This window comes from Homo sapiens, chromosome 6 (genome assembly GCF_000001405.40).
Source record: "Homo sapiens chromosome 6, GRCh38.p14 Primary Assembly".
In the NCBI taxonomy this organism is placed as follows: Eukaryota; Metazoa; Chordata; class Mammalia; order Primates; family Hominidae; genus Homo; species Homo sapiens.
In genome coordinates this window covers 7,879,200-7,896,930 of record NC_000006.12, presented here as the reverse complement: position 1 = coordinate 7,896,930, position 17,731 = coordinate 7,879,200, and the positions used below count along the sequence as shown (strand labels likewise).

Below are 17,731 nucleotides of genomic sequence, written 5' to 3'. Positions count from 1 at the left end.
TCTTGATGAATATAGCCAGGTTTCTTAAGCACCATATCAGCTTATGCTGCCACTGTAGGGCAAGACGTGACCTGTTTCTGGGATGCACTGTGGTGTTCCCATGCCGGGGGACTGCTCTGGAGTCTGCCAGGAACCCAGGAAGCAACTAGAGGCCCCGCATGTGCCATAAATGAACACTTCATACTGAAAGGCCCTTGAACATCTCATGGAGAGTGGCACACGGTATTTTATTTCACCTTATGTGCACCCATTGACTGTTCACTTAGCCATTCTTCCCTTGGGCATTGTTTTGTGTGGGTATTTAGCACTTTGAAAGTCTTGACGCGCTGGCAGCAGAAGGGAAACTTTGTGGTTCTTTATGATTCCAGCCCTGCACAGCTTTGAACTGTCAGCACCTTTAAAGCCTTTAACAACTTAGCTTGGATATTCTTTTTAATAGGAATATGAACCCCCAGATAAAAGCTGAGTAATATACACTTAATGTGTCTGCAGCAGAACACTGATTCCATTATCTTTCCCTCATTTCTGGTTACTTTGGTTGGAAGCCACAGCTGTACCTGGTCTGAAAAGTTGAGAAATGTAGGATTGTGACTAGACAGCTGCACACATTGCTGTCTGCTTGGGTCCTGGCAGAAGCATCTTTTGAAAAGCCCCTTTCCCCCTCTTTCTGTATGAGACTTAGTCATATGAATTACATTCTTTCTTGAAGGTGCAGCTTATGTTCATGCCATGGTTTTCTCTCTGTTGCCTTTCATTCACCTGCATTTTCCTTCTCATCACCTCCTTTTCTCTCTGATCAGTCTTCCACAGTTGTGTCTTCCTCACAGTTTTCCCTGTCATTTGTGTAAAGTAAGGATAACCAGGCCTTCCTGGTCCCTGAGTTTCTCATTCTCAGCTTTGTCCATTTTGCTACCCTCGTGTCTGTTTGTGTGTTTTTTGAGGAAGAGTCTCACTCTGTTGCCCAGGCAGGAGTGCAGTGGCATGTTCTCAGCTCACTGCAGCCTCCACCCCCTGGGATCAAGTGATCCTCCCACCTCAGCCTCCCAAGTAGCTGGGACCACAGGCGCACGTCACCATGCTCAGGTAAATAAAATTTTTTTTTTGTAGCGATGGGGTCTCACTCTGTTGCCTAGGCTGGTCTTGAACTGCTGGGCTCAAGCAGTCCTCTTGCCTCAGCCTCCCAAAATGCTAGGCTGTCACCTAGGCTGGTCTTGAACTGCTGGGCTCAAGCAGTCCTCTTGCCTCAGCCTCCCAAAATGCTAGGGTTACAGGCACGAGCCACTGCGCTGGGCACTCTGGTGTCTGCAAGTGCTGACCCCTTCAGAATACGTCCATTGGGCGTTGTATTTTGTATTCTTTGTGAAGTATCCAAGTACGTTTCAAAGAAGAGGACAGGGTATAGGGTAAGACTGTCCTTTGCATTGTCTGCTTTGTTTGGTTGGGTTTTGGGGTAGGGACAGCTATCACTTGGCTGCCCTGGAGACTCAGACCTAGAGCTTTCACTGAGGGTGAGGCTGACGAGGGGGCTTTTTGCTGAAGCTTCCAGAGGGCTTGACGAGATCAGTTCCTGACCTGGCCTCACTCAGCACAGCAGCATCGTACAAGGGTTCCAGGTTGTTGGGTGAGGGAGGCATCTGCAGGCGGTTCCCCACAGACACAGTCACCTCCTGGATGGTTTCCCTGTGTCTCCACTGACACACCCATGACTGTTTTATTTCCTCCTGTTAGACACCAGAGCCGGAAGTGGAACCGCCCAGTGCCCCCGAGCTCAAGCAAGGGCTGTATGAGCTCTCAGCAAGCAACTTTGAGCTGCACGTTGCACAAGGTAAGGGGGACGTCCTGATGCCAGCTTCAGAGAATCACTATTATTCCTTGGCGTGCTGGGCTTTTCCTTCCTGCTACTCAAGGGCTCTTAGATAGCAGCATCAGTGGCACTGACAAAGGGTCACTCTAGAGGAGCTGTTGGGACCGTTGTTCAGTGCACCTCCTCTAAAACATGAGTTCTCCTTTTGTCTGTGCCCTTATAGAAACGCCGAGTCTAATGCTAAGCACACGTGACCCGCACACTAGCTGGACAGTGCATCCTTGGCTAAGAGTGTTTATTGACAGACTCACCTCGCTTGATTGCTCTTTACTTTATTGCACTTTGGAGATACTGCATTTTTTTACGGATTGAGGATTTTGGCAGCCCAGCATCTGGCAGGTCTAGCGGTTTTTCCAGCAGCTTGTGCTTACTTTGTATCCCTCTGTCAGCATCTTTTTAGCAATAAAATATTTTTTAATTAAGGTACATTGTTTTTAAAGAAGTAATGCTGTAGCACATTTCATAGACTATAGTGTAAACATAACTTTGATATTCACTAGGGAACCAAAAAATTTGTGTGACTTGTTTTATTGTGATATTATCTTTATTGCAGTGGTCTGGAACCAAACCCACAGTATCTCGGAAGTATGCCTGTGTATTAATGATAATCATATGCTTAATGACCTCAGGCAGAAACAAAAGCTTCTCTCTGTCTAAACAGAATTTAGATTGGGCACAGTGGCTCATGCCTATCATCCCAGCACTTGGGGAGAACAAGGTGGGATGACTACTTGAGCCCAGGAGTTCGAGATCAGCCTAAGCAAGACCTTGTCTCTACAGAAGATTAAAAAAAAAAAAAAGGCTGGGTATGGTAAGCGCACTCCTGAAGCTGAGGTGGGAAGATCACTTGAGCCTGGAAGGTCAAGGCTGCAGTGAGCTGTGATCATGCCACTGTACTCCAGCCTGGGTGACAGAGTGAGATCCTGTCTCAGAAAACAACCAAACAAAACCCAGAATTTAATGACACCGTTATAACATGAATCAAATTAGTTACTCTTTACACTTAAAAGATCTTTCTATACCACATCCCATTTTTTGCAAATGGTCTCCTAATATCAGAATGATCCCCATAAAATTTCCAGTGTGAATACATAAGTCTCCCTTTATTCACACATAGATGTGTTTCAGAAAACTTGGCCCAACACCGAATGACTTGAAAGCAATTTTGGCTTCCTGGCCGGCTCCCATTACCAAATGCTACCATGGAGAGAAATCCCCTTAGAAGACTGGGTTGGAAACGTGAGAAATGGCTTGGATTGCCTCTGGCCTTGTGACTTGTGCCTGCTGGGAGTCAGAGCCCCTCCCCCACCACACTTACTGTCCACAGTAACTTATCGTGAGGCCTTCAGCCTTTTCCCACTTTTGCTAAAAGTTATTTCATCCATACCAGCGCCCTGACGGCAGAACTCTAGCATGCTTTCCGCTACGGGAATGCATTTTCAGCTGGGATTGTCTTGGGCTCTGAGCAGGGTGTGTTTCCCAAATCACCTGTTACGGACCGACTCCGGCAGGACAGACCGACTCCGGCAGGCCTAGCCAGCGCCTCCCTAAGTGGGTCACTGCCACACAGCTGTGTCGTGTAGGTACCATGGTGGCTTCCTGCCCTTGCTGGCTTCCCATCAGTACTCTGATTAGGTTCCCAGAGAGCCTGTCTCCACCTTACAGTGCAGGATCTACTGTGCACCTGCACATGGTTTCAGCTTTGCACATTTTTTAATGGAAGTTGTTAACTTTTAAAGGAAGTTTTTCACCATTTTCTTCAAGTGCATTGTTGCTGTGCTGATGAGACAGTAGCTGTGAGCCTTAGTGTGGCAGAGTCCTGCTCAGACGCCAGGCCACATGCCACTGGTTAGTTCTCTCCCCGGCCACAGCCTGCTTTCAGTTTGGTATCAGCCCAATGTCAGGGTAGAACAGCTAAACACCTTCTGTGTCCAAATAATGATGCTGTGAGGGTTTGTTTGTTTTTTTCCCCGTAGCCAAGGGGGTGATGTTTCATTTTTTAAACTTTTTTTTATGATAAAATATAATACAGATCGAGAAAACAAATGTAGGGCTTAATGAATTTTTATAGCGTGGTCACACTGTAACTACTGTCCAGTTCAAGAAATAAAACTGCCAGCTTCCCGTGTCCCATGCAGGGCACAGCCCGCCCTCCCTTCTCCAAGAAGGCACTTGCCTGACATTTGTGGAAACCACTTGTATTAGTCCGTTTTCACTGCTGATGAATACACACCCGAGACTGGGCAATTTACAAAGGAAAGAGGTTTAATGGAGAACTCACAGTTCCACGTGGCTGGCGAAGCCTCACAATCATGGTGGAAGGCAAGGAGGAGCAAGTCACATCTTATATGGATATCAGCAGGCAAAAAGAGCTTGTGTAGGGAAACTCCCGTTTTTAAAACCATCAGATCTCATGAGACTTATTCACTATCACGAGACCAGCATGGGAAAGACCTGTCCCCGTGACTCAGTTACCTCCTACCTGGTCCCTCCCACGACATGTGGGAATTCAAGATGAGATTTGGGTGGGGACACAGCCAAACCATATCAACTCCTTTATGTGCACTGAAGTGCACATTCCTGAGCACTATAGTTCTATATGTGTATGTGTTTATATATCTTTTAAGGCTCTTTTAACCTGCATGTTCTCCAGACATCTCTTTATCTTTCTTGCTGAAGACATAGGTGGTTTGACCTGTAGAGCTCCCCGTGGTCCAGACTTTGCTAATTGTGTCCCCGTAGTGTGGTCTACATGTTTCCCTGATTTCTCTGTTTCCTGGAAATTGGTAGTTGGGTCTGGGGACAAAATCAGTTTCAGTGTGATGTTTTTTGGGGGCACAAGAAGACCTCATAGCTGGTGGGGGCACAGAACGTCCAGTTGTCTCTCTTTGGGATGTGGTCGACCATGACAGGCAGAGCCTGGGTCCGTCCATTCCTTAGGGCTGCCAAGTGCCGAGGCTCATTCAAGCGTCCCTTCATTTTTTAACCAAGAGAAACTCACCCTCATTTATCACCTGGTTATTCAGCGGTACAGTGCATATAGGAGAGGTGGGAGAAATGCCTGATTCTTTCCTTTTATTACAGTTTTCCAAATAATGAGTTGATTGCTGATTGTCCATCAAAGATGACAAATTTGGTTTTGAGTATTGTTATGAAGTCATGAACAGAAACACATTTGATGGAGTCCCTTTGTACCAATTAAAGTGCTCATGCCGAACTAAGATTTGCTAAGCAGGACAAAGATCTGATTCTTCAATTAACTCTCTAGTGAGGTCTGACATAAATTACAGTTCCTCTTTCCCCCGTCTCTGCCTTGGCTCTCCACTCCAGGCGACCACTTTATCAAGTTCTTCGCTCCGTGGTGTGGTCACTGCAAAGCCCTGGCTCCAACCTGGGAGCAGCTGGCTCTGGGCCTTGAACATTCCGAAACTGTCAAGATTGGCAAGGTGAGTGAAAGCCCTTATTAAACTGGAAATGGACTGCTTTGGGCTGGATTAATTAGCAGAGTGGCCCATTATTCATTCCGTGTGCAAAGTCGCAAACTTGATTTATTAATTCCATTTAGTGTGCCACTTGATAATTCATTTCACCTTCACAGATGGCAGTCTGATTTTGAGTTTTGCTGGCTTTTCCACAGCCTAGAGATAAATTATGGCCTCGGCTGCTTTGTTTATTTTGAAGAGATGGCCAAATCTGAATTGGCAGCCCCAGAGCCCGTTCTGCAAAGAGATGGGGTAGAGCCTTGTAGAATGTTCACTGGACGAACTTGGAGACCGTCCACGTTCGACCTCACCCAAGAGCTCTCTCTAAAAGGACCCTGGCTCTGTGCTCCCCCAAGCACGCAGAAGACCCTCCCTCAGTTTGCACTGTGCCTGGGATTCTTTCCAGCATTTCCTACTTTATACAGAGAAGCCAAGAGTGGTGTCTGACAACTTCTGTGTAACTGGATTTTCTGGAAATATCCAGTGTAGCTCCAGGGACATCACTTTTATTCTTCTACACTTTCCAGCACCCACCAGACACCATGCATAGATTTCCTTTCTTAAAAATCTCATTTTTCTACCTTGCCATGGGGCTGATTTGTATCCAAAAGTAATGCTGCGTGTCTAGGACTGAATGATGGTTAACAGGATGATCTACTTGGGATGGTGAGATGGTCAAAAGCATAAACTTGGGGGTTGGGTAGACCTGGCTGGCTGACCTTGGGAAAAACCTCTCCACGCCTCGGTCTCCCCCTTTGCAAAACTGAGCTAAGATCTACTGTGTGGTGTCTGGGCAGATGAAAGTACACTGCTTAGTGTGATGCTTAGCATGGGGCAGATGCTTGGTAAATTGTAATCACTTTTGTTGTCAGTTAAATGGATATTTCACTGTTGCCTCTTAAACGCTTACGATAATATATACTAATTATACATGTTATTATCAGTTTATATTTATTGAACATTTCGGGGAAGTAATTATAAAATAATCTTGTCTACTGTCTTACCCCATTCCTTGTATCCTTACTTAATTATTGTATGAAATTTTATGGGAGATTCTTTTAGGTTTATATCCATAGAGGATCCTAGCAGACCTAGGCGTGAGCAGACACAAGCCCAGGTGACCACGCTGAAGCCCTTCATCCCTGGCACATGTGGCTGGGTTACACTGGACCCTTAAAAATGCTTGTCCTCTCCCGACCTTGGGCTGAGGCCTCTTGTACTTCAGTTCCGCACCTTAGCTGCTCTCTGACGGGTCTTAGGTGTTGAAATAGTATTTTTACCCCCGTTTGCTGACATAGTGAATAACAACTTAGTCCTGCCTATTTTAGTGCTGGTAGAAAATAAAAAAGAAAGCAATGACTTAGAACAAGATGTTTCATGAAAATGTTGGGCAAGCAGCAGCTTTATGAGATTTAAATGAAAGAAAAAGCTTGAAGAGCTGTGCTTGTTGGTAAATTAAGTTTATAAAATTAAGGACGGATTATAATCTTGACATCTTTGCAGTCTTACCTTTATTATATACCAACTACTCCTGTTTAAAATTCACTTCTTGCTCCCTGTTGATTTTAAAACCCTCTAAGCTTCAGCATGAGAGTAAATTCTAAGCTGGCATGTGAACTGGTCTGGGTCCCAGTCACCGACAGCCAGGCTAACCCCCCTCCCACCACCACCAAATGTCAAGCCAGGGCCCTGACTCAAGCTACCAGGTGCTGACTTTACTTGCTCGAGTTAAAATGTTGCTTCCTAAAAACCGGCATGTTTAACTGAGCTATTAATACAATAAATCTTGCCTCTAAAGTCTTTCCTTTACTCCTTTTAGCTCAGGTATGTTTTAGCATAGCTTTCAGGAACATTCTCTTCAAAAACTGCACCTTGCTGGCAGAGTTGCTACAGAATGTGGATTTTGAAAAGAATATTTGTAACGTACAAAGTGTCCAGTAGCCCCATTAGCAAGAAGGTTCATGAAGAAACTGACTGGGAAGTTGATCTGCTTTTATTCTCAGGTTGATTGTACACAGCACTATGAACTCTGCTCCGGAAACCAGGTTCGTGGCTATCCCACTCTTCTCTGGTTCCGAGATGGGAAAAAGGTACGTCTGCACTTCTTAGTACTGAGAATTCTTCATCTCTTAACCCCATCAGGCTGAGCTACTGAGTGGTTTAATGGGCACAGTGAATTGCCAATCTTGATTGTTAGGGCACTGGTTTGGAGAAATGTGTATAATGAAACAAACGTCTTTCTCTTAATTGATAAGATTTGGGTTGTGGAGATGAACCTTGAAACATTTCAGTGGCCCAGGTTATCACTAGAATAACCCACATCTTACAGTCACAGGGTAACTGTGCTCTGGTTGTAAACACAAACCTTCAGGCCTTTGAACAGAGCTAAGGCTTGCACTTGGTCCGGTTCTGCCTGCCTCCCTCCCTCCTTCCCTGGCCGATGGTCAGCAGCTCAGAGTTCCCCATCAGCACAACGGCTTGCTGGCAGGCCTCTGCCCCAGACTTCTGTGATGTGTAACCCCGTGGAGGGAAGAGGGGCCTGTACAGTTCTCTCACCAAAGCCGAGGCATTCAGTTATCCTCTCTACATTCCCGTCTAAATATGAACATGCAGACTTTGCACCACCGCTAAGACATCTGGGAGCTCTGACCCGGGCAAGCAGGGGTTGCAGGAAGGCTTAAGTGATTCAGAACACCTCAGTGGACTCACTCAGCCGCGTGCCCGTGTCTTGGCCAGGTGGATCAGTACAAGGGAAAGCGGGATTTGGAGTCACTGAGGGAGTACGTGGAGTCGCAGCTGCAGCGCACAGAGACTGGAGCGACGGAGACCGTCACGCCCTCAGAGGCCCCGGTGCTGGCAGCTGAGCCCGAGGCTGACAAGGTGGGTGCCTGCTGGAGTCGGGATCCCCATAAGTGGCCCGTGGCCCCCGGCCCCCCACCTCCCCACCCTCAGAGGCCTCCTCAAATGCTTTGGACAAAATGACAGTTTGGGGACACAGTCATCTGATGGTTGGCTCCAGTTGCGTTTTCAACACGTATTTTTCATCGACTTTCACATGCTTTCAGGGGCGAATGCAAACAAAAGCTTTCCTTTTGAAAACATGAAATGGATGTGAGACAAATCCCAAGACAATATTTGGTGTCAAAAATCTCTAGAGAATCCTTCCTTTCCGCTTCATTCATTTTAAAGAATGACTCTGCTGGGCATGTTTCTGCTATGAAATCTCGACTGCTGGCCCCGGGGCCCTGATTCTATTCCTGACCTTGCTCCGGGCATTTTCCTTTACCCGTTGTAAAGGCCCCTAGAAGACCTGTAGCCAAGAGGGCATCCGCAGCGATCAGGCCAGTGACTGTAGCTGTAACCTGCCTAGGCAGTCCTGATGCACTGAGGGGCTTCCTTCCTTCACTCAGGTAGCAGGAGGTTTCAGATTCATTTGTTCTGCTTTATGAAGCCCTTGTTATGTCACAGGCACTGTTCTAGGCCACCAGGGAATAAAAATAAGACCGGTTTCCTGCCTCTGAAGCATACAGGTCTCTGAGGCAAATGGTGAGAAGACACACAAGCCAATGGCAGGGGGCTGGGGCAGAAATGTGTGCAGGGCTTGGCTGCTAGAGAGAAGTGGGGGCAAATGGGCAAGAAGTGTCCCTAAGGAGCTGATTGACGGGATCTGTGCTGGACAGATAGGCTGGGCAGGGCTGCCACTGAGGGGCTGCACCAGGAGAGGCACAACCCGAGAATCAGCCGGCATTTCTGCAGGGCCAGAGCTGGGGCTGGGGGAACACAGTGGGAGACAGGTCAGGGTGTGGTGTAGGATCCCTGAGAGTGAGAGAGGAGCTGGAGTTGAGAGTCTGTGGGCAGCTGGCCAAGGATTAGGAACTGTATCCCATATTGACAGGGAGCCCATGGAGGCTCTGTGCAGATTGGAGTTGTAGGAAAATGACCGGCATGCACGTGTGCTGGAGGTGGGAAGCTGCTCTATTAGGCCTTTAAAGATGATGCGTTCCCTCATGCTGCAGCCGTGACTGTGCGATGGCGAGGAGGAGAAAGCCAGCATAAGGAGTCCAGCCGCTGTGCAGCGCGGAGAGGGAGGGAGGGTCCGAGGCGAGTCTGATTCCCGCATATCTGGTGGAGGATGGTACCCAGCACAGGGGCGGGGCCAGAGCTCGAGGAAAGGGATGAGCTTGGTTTTCAAGGTGTTGATCTTCAAGGCTTTCGGCTGTGTAGGTGGCAGTGTCCAGTGGCAGTTCCAACCATGAGCCTGGGGCTGCGGCAGGAGGTCTGCACTGGACGAGAGTGCCCGTGTCATCCTCTTCAGGTAGAAGTCATGCCTGAAGGCCAGGAGTTTGGATTTGGAAAAACCAGTGGGGCCACCAACCCCTCCTCCCTGGTGGGGCCACACCAGGCCTCCTCACCCCTACAACCCTGTCCCTAGTTGGGCTCTTGTAGGTCGGGGATGGCCTGAGTGTTGTTTAAAAGTTGACGTTTTGGTTGAAGAAGTAAACAGCTGATTTTGTAGTTGTCAGGACCACTTATGTTAGAGGAGTGTATGTGTCATGGTGGTTACAAAGGTCATCCCAAATTGAGTATAATTATATACCACGGATGTTTTCATCGCAGCACCATTTCTATTTATAATGCAGTTTTCCACCATGAAGTGGGTCTTTTCAGTGCGTGTGGCGTCATGTTTCTGGACATAAAGATGGTAGTGTTCCACAGTGGCCCCCTTGGCCTCCGTCACTGACATGTTACTCGATGCCAGACTCAAATGGAGCAGCCCTGGTACACTTAGCCACGTGATAAATCATCCCATTCCTGCTCTCAGGAGAGAATCGCAGATCCATTTTTGGAGAAACACATAGACGTCATTCTGTAAAGAACTGTCAAGGGAGAATGGCTTTAAAGCAGACTACCATGTAGCACCTTTCCCTTAAATTCTCCAGCCAGAGCTTCCATCAGCGTTTTTCACATTGACTTAGAACAGGCTGCTTTCCATTTTTATGTTCAATGTAAAACAGGTATCATTGCCTTTGCTATTGTAACTAGGTTCTTTCTGTTGCATAGAGAGGATGTCACAAAGGGTGCTAGGAGAATAGGGTGGCCAGTGAGAAAAGCGGCTGAGGATGAGACTTCAGTGGGTATCCTGGAGACTCCAGGCTTAGAGGTGCAGACTCAAGTGTCAGACACCCAGGGCTGCCTGGTCCACACCACAGCGCCCTGGAGAGTTTTCAACCTGCCTCATCCCCAAAAGACAGTCCCCCTCCCCACCTTCATCCCCTGTACAGTGTCCAGCCACCTCCTCACCACATCTCCCAGGCTTGGGACCCAGGGACTTGCATTGATCTCTCTGCCCTTCAGAGGCTGCCAGCCTCCCTTTGTGTGTAGCCTATGAAATGCAGATTGTGTAGGTATTTCTGTGTGACCTTGGAGCCTACGTAACTGCATTTTTAAAAAATTACTGATTCGTGTATCTGCAATCCCAAAGCATGGCCCTGCTCAACTTTAAGGGATGTACTTGAACTGTGGCTTTTTCCTCCCTTGAAGGGCACTGTGTTGGCACTCACTGAAAATAACTTCGATGACACCATTGCAGAAGGAATAACCTTCATCAAGTTTTATGCTCCATGGTAAGTGGCTGTTTAATTAGAAACTACTTTGTCCATGTGTACTAAGTCACATCATGTTTTTCAGCTCATCTGCCACCCCTCCAGACTCAATGTTGGGCACATGTTACATTTATATGTAGGTCATGTTGTAGGAAATAAGGAACCGTTATCATGCTCCTATATTCAAATATTTTAAACTTCAATGGCCTTAATTATATATGGAGAATGAGGCTACAGTTATATCAACTTTGATTATATATGGAGAATGAGGCTAAAGTTATATCAACTTTGGAGAAAACATAAAAATGGAGGCAAATTATGATGGCCATATTCAGTTTTGTGGTATCTGCACTTTTCCAAATAGATGGCTTTTCTTTTTGGCTAAACAATGAGTGTCATGATGTAGCTTTGCTCCTCGGTTCTTTTAAGTACTCGGATTTCTTTTGTAGAGAAATCCAGTAGAGTCTGTTAGAGCCATTCAGTATGCTACGCAGTTTCCTGAACCTGCATGCCACGTGGTCTTGGAGACCAGAGCAGAAATGGATTGCAGGTAGTGTGAGATCCAGACAACCTTGGTTCTAAGACTTACCGTGAATGACTGTATAGTAAACTTGGATGTCCTTTAATTCCTTTGAACCCCAGTTCCCTCAGCTGAAAAATGGGAGTAACTTTTTGTCTTCACAAATAAAACAATCCATTTGGAAAAGCAGAGTGTTAGGACAACAGTAGATTGTTTATCTAAACATGATAAAGGCGTCACTTTTCTTGTTTGTTACACTCCACATGTTCCTGAGAAACTAACCATAGGGGTAAAAAGTTAATAAGCACAGGACTTGAACGAACCATAGCAATGCCTTTCAAATCATTTGCAACATTTAAAAACCTAAAGCTCCACAGATCAAGTATCAAAAAGGAGGATCCCCTTTGGCTGAAGGGGAGCCATCCATACGGCAGGAGGGGGTCAGAAGAGACAAGGGAACAGAGTCGGGTAGAAGGGAGGGTTTGAACCAAACTTAATCATGGCCTTGATGCTCACCCCACATCGCTGAAGTACCAAGGAGGCCTTAAAATGGTTTTGAAATTGTGAGACCATAAGCAATCAAATCTAAAATGTCTTTGGCATTCAAGTGACCTTTTAGAAATTGTGTGGCATCTGCCCTGTTCCCTGTTCCTCTGCTCCTGTGCTTTCATAAACCAGTTAGCACAGTTCACCATGGCATGGAAATGGTCTCAGAATCTCAACTTGTTTTGAGACTGGCTTGCTTCTGTCACATTATCTGAAAGTCTACCTTGGATCAACTTTTGGGTTCTTCATTTGGGATAGGAGGAGGAAGAGTTAATGTGCACCCAGTGGGAGAATTTGGTATTTTACAAATTTCTAGGCAATTGTTGACTGTCCCATACAGAAGAAACAGAGCTTGTCTTGGCAGCAGAGTGTAGGTGAATGATCTCGACCCAGGATTTCAACGAAGCTGCCATTTTTCTCGTCTTAGGTGTGGTCATTGTAAGACTCTGGCTCCTACTTGGGAGGAACTCTCTAAAAAGGAATTCCCTGGTCTGGCGGGGGTCAAGATCGCCGAAGTAGACTGCACTGCTGAACGGAATATCTGCAGCAAGTATTCGGTGGGTACTTGGATGGATGCTTATGGGAGCTCTCAGTATGGGGGCAGATCCCAAGGGAACTGTGCCTCAACCACGATAACTCACTCTGCTCTCATCTTCTCAACAATGTGGTTTTTATGTCCCTTTGAGTTGTTTGTTTGGAGAAGCAAAAGAGATCCTCTCTCAAAGGGAAGGCATTCTTCTTCGCCCGCTTTGTAGTTAGTATCCATGTTTCAGTGCAGGTTTTCAGGCCTTGCTGTCTGAGTAACAAGGCCGTGAAGTAACAGACCCCACGCCATAGACTGTGGGGCTTCCCACACCGCGACTCTTGATGATTGACCAGTGGTCTGTAGCCTTTGCCATAAATACCCGAGTCGCTCATTTTTCACACATAAGCCAGCATTATAAAATGCAGTGGCTGAATCTAAGAATCATTTCAACATAACCTCCTTTCTGAAAGGGCCATGCCAGCAAGTCGGTCCTGTGCTTGGGTTAACTACTGCCTTCATTCCAAGCTGTTAGCACAGTCTGATGGCCTGGAAGATTTGTCATTTTTTTTCTTCTTTGTTATTCAGACACTTTTGGAGCCCTTTAGATGGAGAATAGACGTAACCCAGACATAGTTTCCTTATCATTAAAAGATACCAGTTGTTTTTTGTGCCCTAAAATTCTTAGAAACGAGTTGCCACTGAAACATGTATCCTCAAGAGGATCTTGCTCTCATGGTCTGGTCTGCAGACCACCAGGGCATCGCCAGGGAGGTCATTGGAAATGCAGACTCCCAGGCCTGCTCAATCCAAATCTGCACCTTCAGCAGATCCGCAGGTGATCGTGTGCACAGTAAAGACTGAAAGCGTCTGCTTTAGGGTAAAGTCGTTCCTTTGAGGCTGATCTTTAATGATGTCATTTTGAATTCAGAAGTGAACACACAGCCCCACGGCTGTGCTTTCTAAACAGTAGTCTGCTCCTGTTTTAATGGAATATACACCTTTAAAAATTAGCCACAGAATTTTTCCAGCCACAACGGTAGGAGTGTATCTGGTTTTATTTAGGAAGCAATTTGCATGTGATCTGGACCGCTGGTTTGCAAACTTTTTTCTTTTTTGTTTTAAGGTACGAGGCTACCCCACGTTATTGCTTTTCCGAGGAGGGAAGAAAGTCAGTGAGCACAGTGGAGGCAGAGACCTTGACTCGTTACACCGCTTTGTCCTGAGCCAAGCGAAAGACGAACTTTAGGAACACAGTTGGAGGTCACCTCTCCTGCCCAGCTCCCGCACCCTGCGTTTAGGAGTTCAGTCCCACAGAGGCCACTGGGTTCCCAGTGGTGGCTGTTCAGAAAGCAGAACATACTAAGCGTGAGGTATCTTCTTTGTGTGTGTGTTTTCCAAGCCAACACACTCTACAGATTCTTTATTAAGTTAAGTTTCTCTAAGTAAATGTGTAACTCATGGTCACTGTGTAAACATTTTCAGTGGCGATATATCCCCTTTGACCTTCTCTTGATGAAATTTACATGGTTTCCTTTGAGACTAAAATAGCGTTGAGGGAAATGAAATTGCTGGACTATTTGTGGCTCCTGAGTTGAGTGATTTTGGTGAAAGAAAGCACATCCAAAGCATAGTTTACCTGCCCACGAGTTCTGGAAAGGTGGCCTTGTGGCAGTATTGACGTTCCTCTGATCTTAAGGTCACAGTTGACTCAATACTGTGTTGGTCCGTAGCATGGAGCAGATTGAAATGCAAAAACCCACACCTCTGGAAGATACCTTCACGGCCGCTGCTGGAGCTTCTGTTGCTGTGAATACTTCTCTCAGTGTGAGAGGTTAGCCGTGATGAAAGCAGCGTTACTTCTGACCGTGCCTGAGTAAGAGAATGCTGATGCCATAACTTTATGTGTCGATACTTGTCAAATCAGTTACTGTTCAGGGGATCCTTCTGTTTCTCACGGGGTGAAACATGTCTTTAGTTCCTCATGTTAACACGAAGCCAGAGCCCACATGAACTGTTGGATGTCTTCCTTAGAAAGGGTAGGCATGGAAAATTCCACGAGGCTCATTCTCAGTATCTCATTAACTCATTGAAAGATTCCAGTTGTATTTGTCACCTGGGGTGACAAGACCAGACAGGCTTTCCCAGGCCTGGGTATCCAGGGAGGCTCTGCAGCCCTGCTGAAGGGCCCTAACTAGAGTTCTAGAGTTTCTGATTCTGTTTCTCAGTAGTCCTTTTAGAGGCTTGCTATACTTGGTCTGCTTCAAGGAGGTCGACCTTCTAATGTATGAAGAATGGGATGCATTTGATCTCAAGACCAAAGACAGATGTCAGTGGGCTGCTCTGGCCCTGGTGTGCACGGCTGTGGCAGCTGTTGATGCCAGTGTCCTCTAACTCATGCTGTCCTTGTGATTAAACACCTCTATCTCCCTTGGGAATAAGCACATACAGGCTTAAGCTCTAAGATAGATAGGTGTTTGTCCTTTTACCATCGAGCTACTTCCCATAATAACCACTTTGCATCCAACACTCTTCACCCACCTCCCATACGCAAGGGGATGTGGATACTTGGCCCAAAGTAACTGGTGGTAGGAATCTTAGAAACAAGACCACTTATACTGTCTGTCTGAGGCAGAAGATAACAGCAGCATCTCGACCAGCCTCTGCCTTAAAGGAAATCTTTATTAATCACGTATGGTTCACAGATAATTCTTTTTTTAAAAAAACCCAACCTCCTAGAGAAGCACAACTGTCAAGAGTCTTGTACACACAACTTCAGCTTTGCATCACGAGTCTTGTATTCCAAGAAAATCAAAGTGGTACAATTTGTTTGTTTACACTATGATACTTTCTAAATAAACTCTTTTTTTTTAAAAGTCTGGTCTTTCCTTCAATGTTACAGCAAAACAGATATAAAATAGACAATAAATTATAGTTTATATTTACAAAAAAAGCTGTAAGTGCAAACAGTTGTAGATTATAAATGTATTATTTAATCAGTTTAGTATGAAATTGCCTTCCCAGTACATGATTGTGAAAAAGACATTTAGAAAATATTCTAAAATTTAATCTGAGCCTCACTTTCTACAAGGGAAATCATGATTTCCGTTCATAAACAGCATGCTCATCCCCCTAACACCATTCTTATAAGCTGGGCACCCTCATTTTATTTTCTTCGTTGGTTCTAACCCTGTGGCGTGGTATGCTGTATAGTAAAAAGGCAGAGAACCACTTTACTGAAAAGGTACTAGAGCCGGCAGTCCAGAAGTTAATGTGCTGGTCAAAGAACCGTTCTGGTAAAGAAGAGGTGAGCATTGCCTTCACGTGTTACACGGTTACACACCCCTTGTAGCCTCACCTCAGTGTAATCAGTCTACTTTTGGTACTAGCAAAGAGTACAGCAAATGGAGGATTGAGGTGTAGAAATGGTATGTTTTGGCTGAAATAAGTGTATTTTCACACCAACAAAACTCCAGCACGAACATACAACAGCAATGACTGAGACAAGGGCGCCCCGTGGAGCCCTGGCTGTGGCCTGGGCTGTGCGTCCTGTGGACTTCTGGGAATGAACTGAACAGAGGCGTTCCCCCCACTTCCCCGATTTCTGTTCTCTGTAAAATCTACCTTTGATAGACAGTACTGAACCAGCTGATCCTTTAGCCAAGAATACATTTAACTCCTTTGAGATTATTTTCCCTATTTACTAACAAACACCCCAAATAGCTTGATCTACAGCTAAAACTAATTTTGGTGGGTTTTTGGGGGAGGAGGGTAGGAAGAGCTTCACGGTTATGTTTCTGCAGTTACCAGACCTTATGCTACAGACATCCAAACTCAGCTTGCTACAGACCAACAACTACTCACGTCATTTACCAAGTGAGCAAATTATTAATGAGGTCCTTTAAAATCTTCCTGGGTAATAAGGCACTGGCATGAGATAGTTTCAAAGTCTCATCGTCCCACCTCCAACTGTGCTTCCGTGTTTTTTTAAGGCAGATGTAATCTAGGAATCCAAGGCAGAATGTGTGTCCCCAGCATCTGGTTTCGAGTTAGTGGCATCCACAAGCTCTTACAACCATATTCCTGTATTTTTTCAGAATGACATTGGAGTTGTCATCAAAGTAAAGAACCGAGATGGCATTTAGCTTAGTTGGCGCACAGCACGGTTTGGGGACATACTCGGGGTTCATAAGGTGAACCTGTTCCAAAACAGAAGGGGAGAAGGTACCTTAGAAATGACACCTGGTCTTGGCTTACTCCCACTTACAAAACAAAGTCTCCGAGAGCTCACCAAGGTCTGCACAATCGCGTGGTTGGTTGCATTCATGTGTGCGTTGAGTGGGAAGGAGCATTCTCCATCACAGTAATTGGCAGCATAGCCCTTGGGTGCAATGATCCAGTCCTTAATTTCATGCAAAGGAAGCAACAAAAGATGAGCATGCACTTCTCACACTATTTGTGCTTTTCAGGAATGCTGTGAAAAGGTATTTTTCACATTGCACAGGCAAGGATACAGACGCAGGAAGGCTTAGGAATTTGTCCAAGTTCACATTCAAGTGGCAATGCTGGGAAGTGAACCTGGTCCATCTGACCCCAGAACCCTCGCTCCTTGCAGAGGCCCACAGGGCCTCAGCTGCTACCTGGAAGCACGTAGGTTGCCAGCAATATGTGCTTGGACCCAAGCAAGCCTCTCCAGGAGCCCACGGTGCTCCTGCGGAAGTAGTGCCACCTGCATATGGAAGCTACCTTTTATCGCTCACCACCTGTGATTAAAGTTGCTGCCTTTCTTACAAACTAGTGATGGTTCTCAGGTACGAGGCAAACGTGTGCTCTTCTGCATCGTTTGGTGAGCTGGTTTGCAGCCATTGGAGATGTTAACCATTAGGTAATTTTTTTCCAACCCTGTCTCAATTAAAATTTGTTTAAATGCCCAAATAAATGTATGTCCTATGGGCTTTGAAAGGATGAGGTGAGAATATTGGGAAATGTGGCTATTGATTTTTGAGGGATCACAGAGCTCAGGCACCCTAGGAAGGTGTTGGAGCGCCTGGTGCCCCACAGACTAAGCTTCCTCTGCCTTACTCCAGGAGCCTGAGCATTTGGGAGGGCTCCTCAGGACTTCCACAGAAGGAAGCAGCTCAGCCTTCAATCAAGCTCTGGGTGTTTGGTAATGGCTGCCACCATTCAGATGAG

General features: G+C 46.1%; 2 protein-coding genes and 1 long non-coding RNA gene across 4 annotated transcripts in view, besides 1 other annotated feature; 2 read left to right on the top strand and 1 right to left on the bottom strand.

Annotated features, from left to right (window-relative positions):
- The window catches only part of TXNDC5 (thioredoxin domain containing 5), a 29,272-nt gene extending 13,858 nt beyond the window's left edge, over nt 1-15,414 (top strand). For both annotated transcript variants that reach the window (NM_030810.5, NM_001145549.4), the window contains exons 4-10: nt 1,729-1,825; nt 5,195-5,310; nt 7,350-7,436; nt 8,083-8,226; nt 10,888-10,970; nt 12,443-12,572; nt 13,665-15,414. In NM_030810.5, coding sequence (NP_110437.2) covers nt 1,729-1,825; nt 5,195-5,310; nt 7,350-7,436; nt 8,083-8,226; nt 10,888-10,970; nt 12,443-12,572; nt 13,665-13,787 — 780 coding nt within the window. In that variant the 3' untranslated portion in view covers nt 13,788-15,414. The remainder of the gene's footprint in view (nt 1-1,728; nt 1,826-5,194; nt 5,311-7,349; nt 7,437-8,082; nt 8,227-10,887; nt 10,971-12,442; nt 12,573-13,664) is intronic.
- The window catches only part of BLOC1S5-TXNDC5 (BLOC1S5-TXNDC5 readthrough (NMD candidate)), a 183,165-nt gene extending 167,484 nt beyond the window's left edge, over nt 1-15,681 (top strand). The window contains exons 7-13 of the long non-coding RNA NR_037616.1: nt 1,729-1,825; nt 5,195-5,310; nt 7,350-7,436; nt 8,083-8,226; nt 10,888-10,970; nt 12,443-12,572; nt 13,665-15,681. This is a non-coding gene — a long non-coding RNA (BLOC1S5-TXNDC5 readthrough (NMD candidate)). The remainder of the gene's footprint in view (nt 1-1,728; nt 1,826-5,194; nt 5,311-7,349; nt 7,437-8,082; nt 8,227-10,887; nt 10,971-12,442; nt 12,573-13,664) is intronic.
- Nucleotides 13,666-14,865: an enhancer, noted in NCBI's record as "MED14-independent group 3 enhancer chr6:7882299-7883498 (GRCh37/hg19 assembly coordinates)". NCBI's record gives its function as "activates an origin of replication core promoter dependent on BRD2, BRD4, P300/CBP and CDK7 cofactors, and independent of MED14, by STARR-seq in HCT116 cells {active_cell/tissue: HCT116}" and the evidence as "EXISTENCE:reporter gene assay evidence [ECO:0000049][PMID:35650434]".
- The window catches only part of BMP6 (bone morphogenetic protein 6), a 155,630-nt gene continuing 153,101 nt past the window's right edge, over nt 15,203-17,731 (bottom strand). The window contains exons 6-7 of the mRNA NM_001718.6: nt 16,830-16,940; nt 15,203-16,737 (exon numbers count right to left, since the gene is read on the bottom strand). Of these exons, the coding sequence (NP_001709.1) occupies nt 16,588-16,737; nt 16,830-16,940 (261 nt within the window). The 3' untranslated portion in view covers nt 15,203-16,587. The remainder of the gene's footprint in view (nt 16,738-16,829; nt 16,941-17,731) is intronic.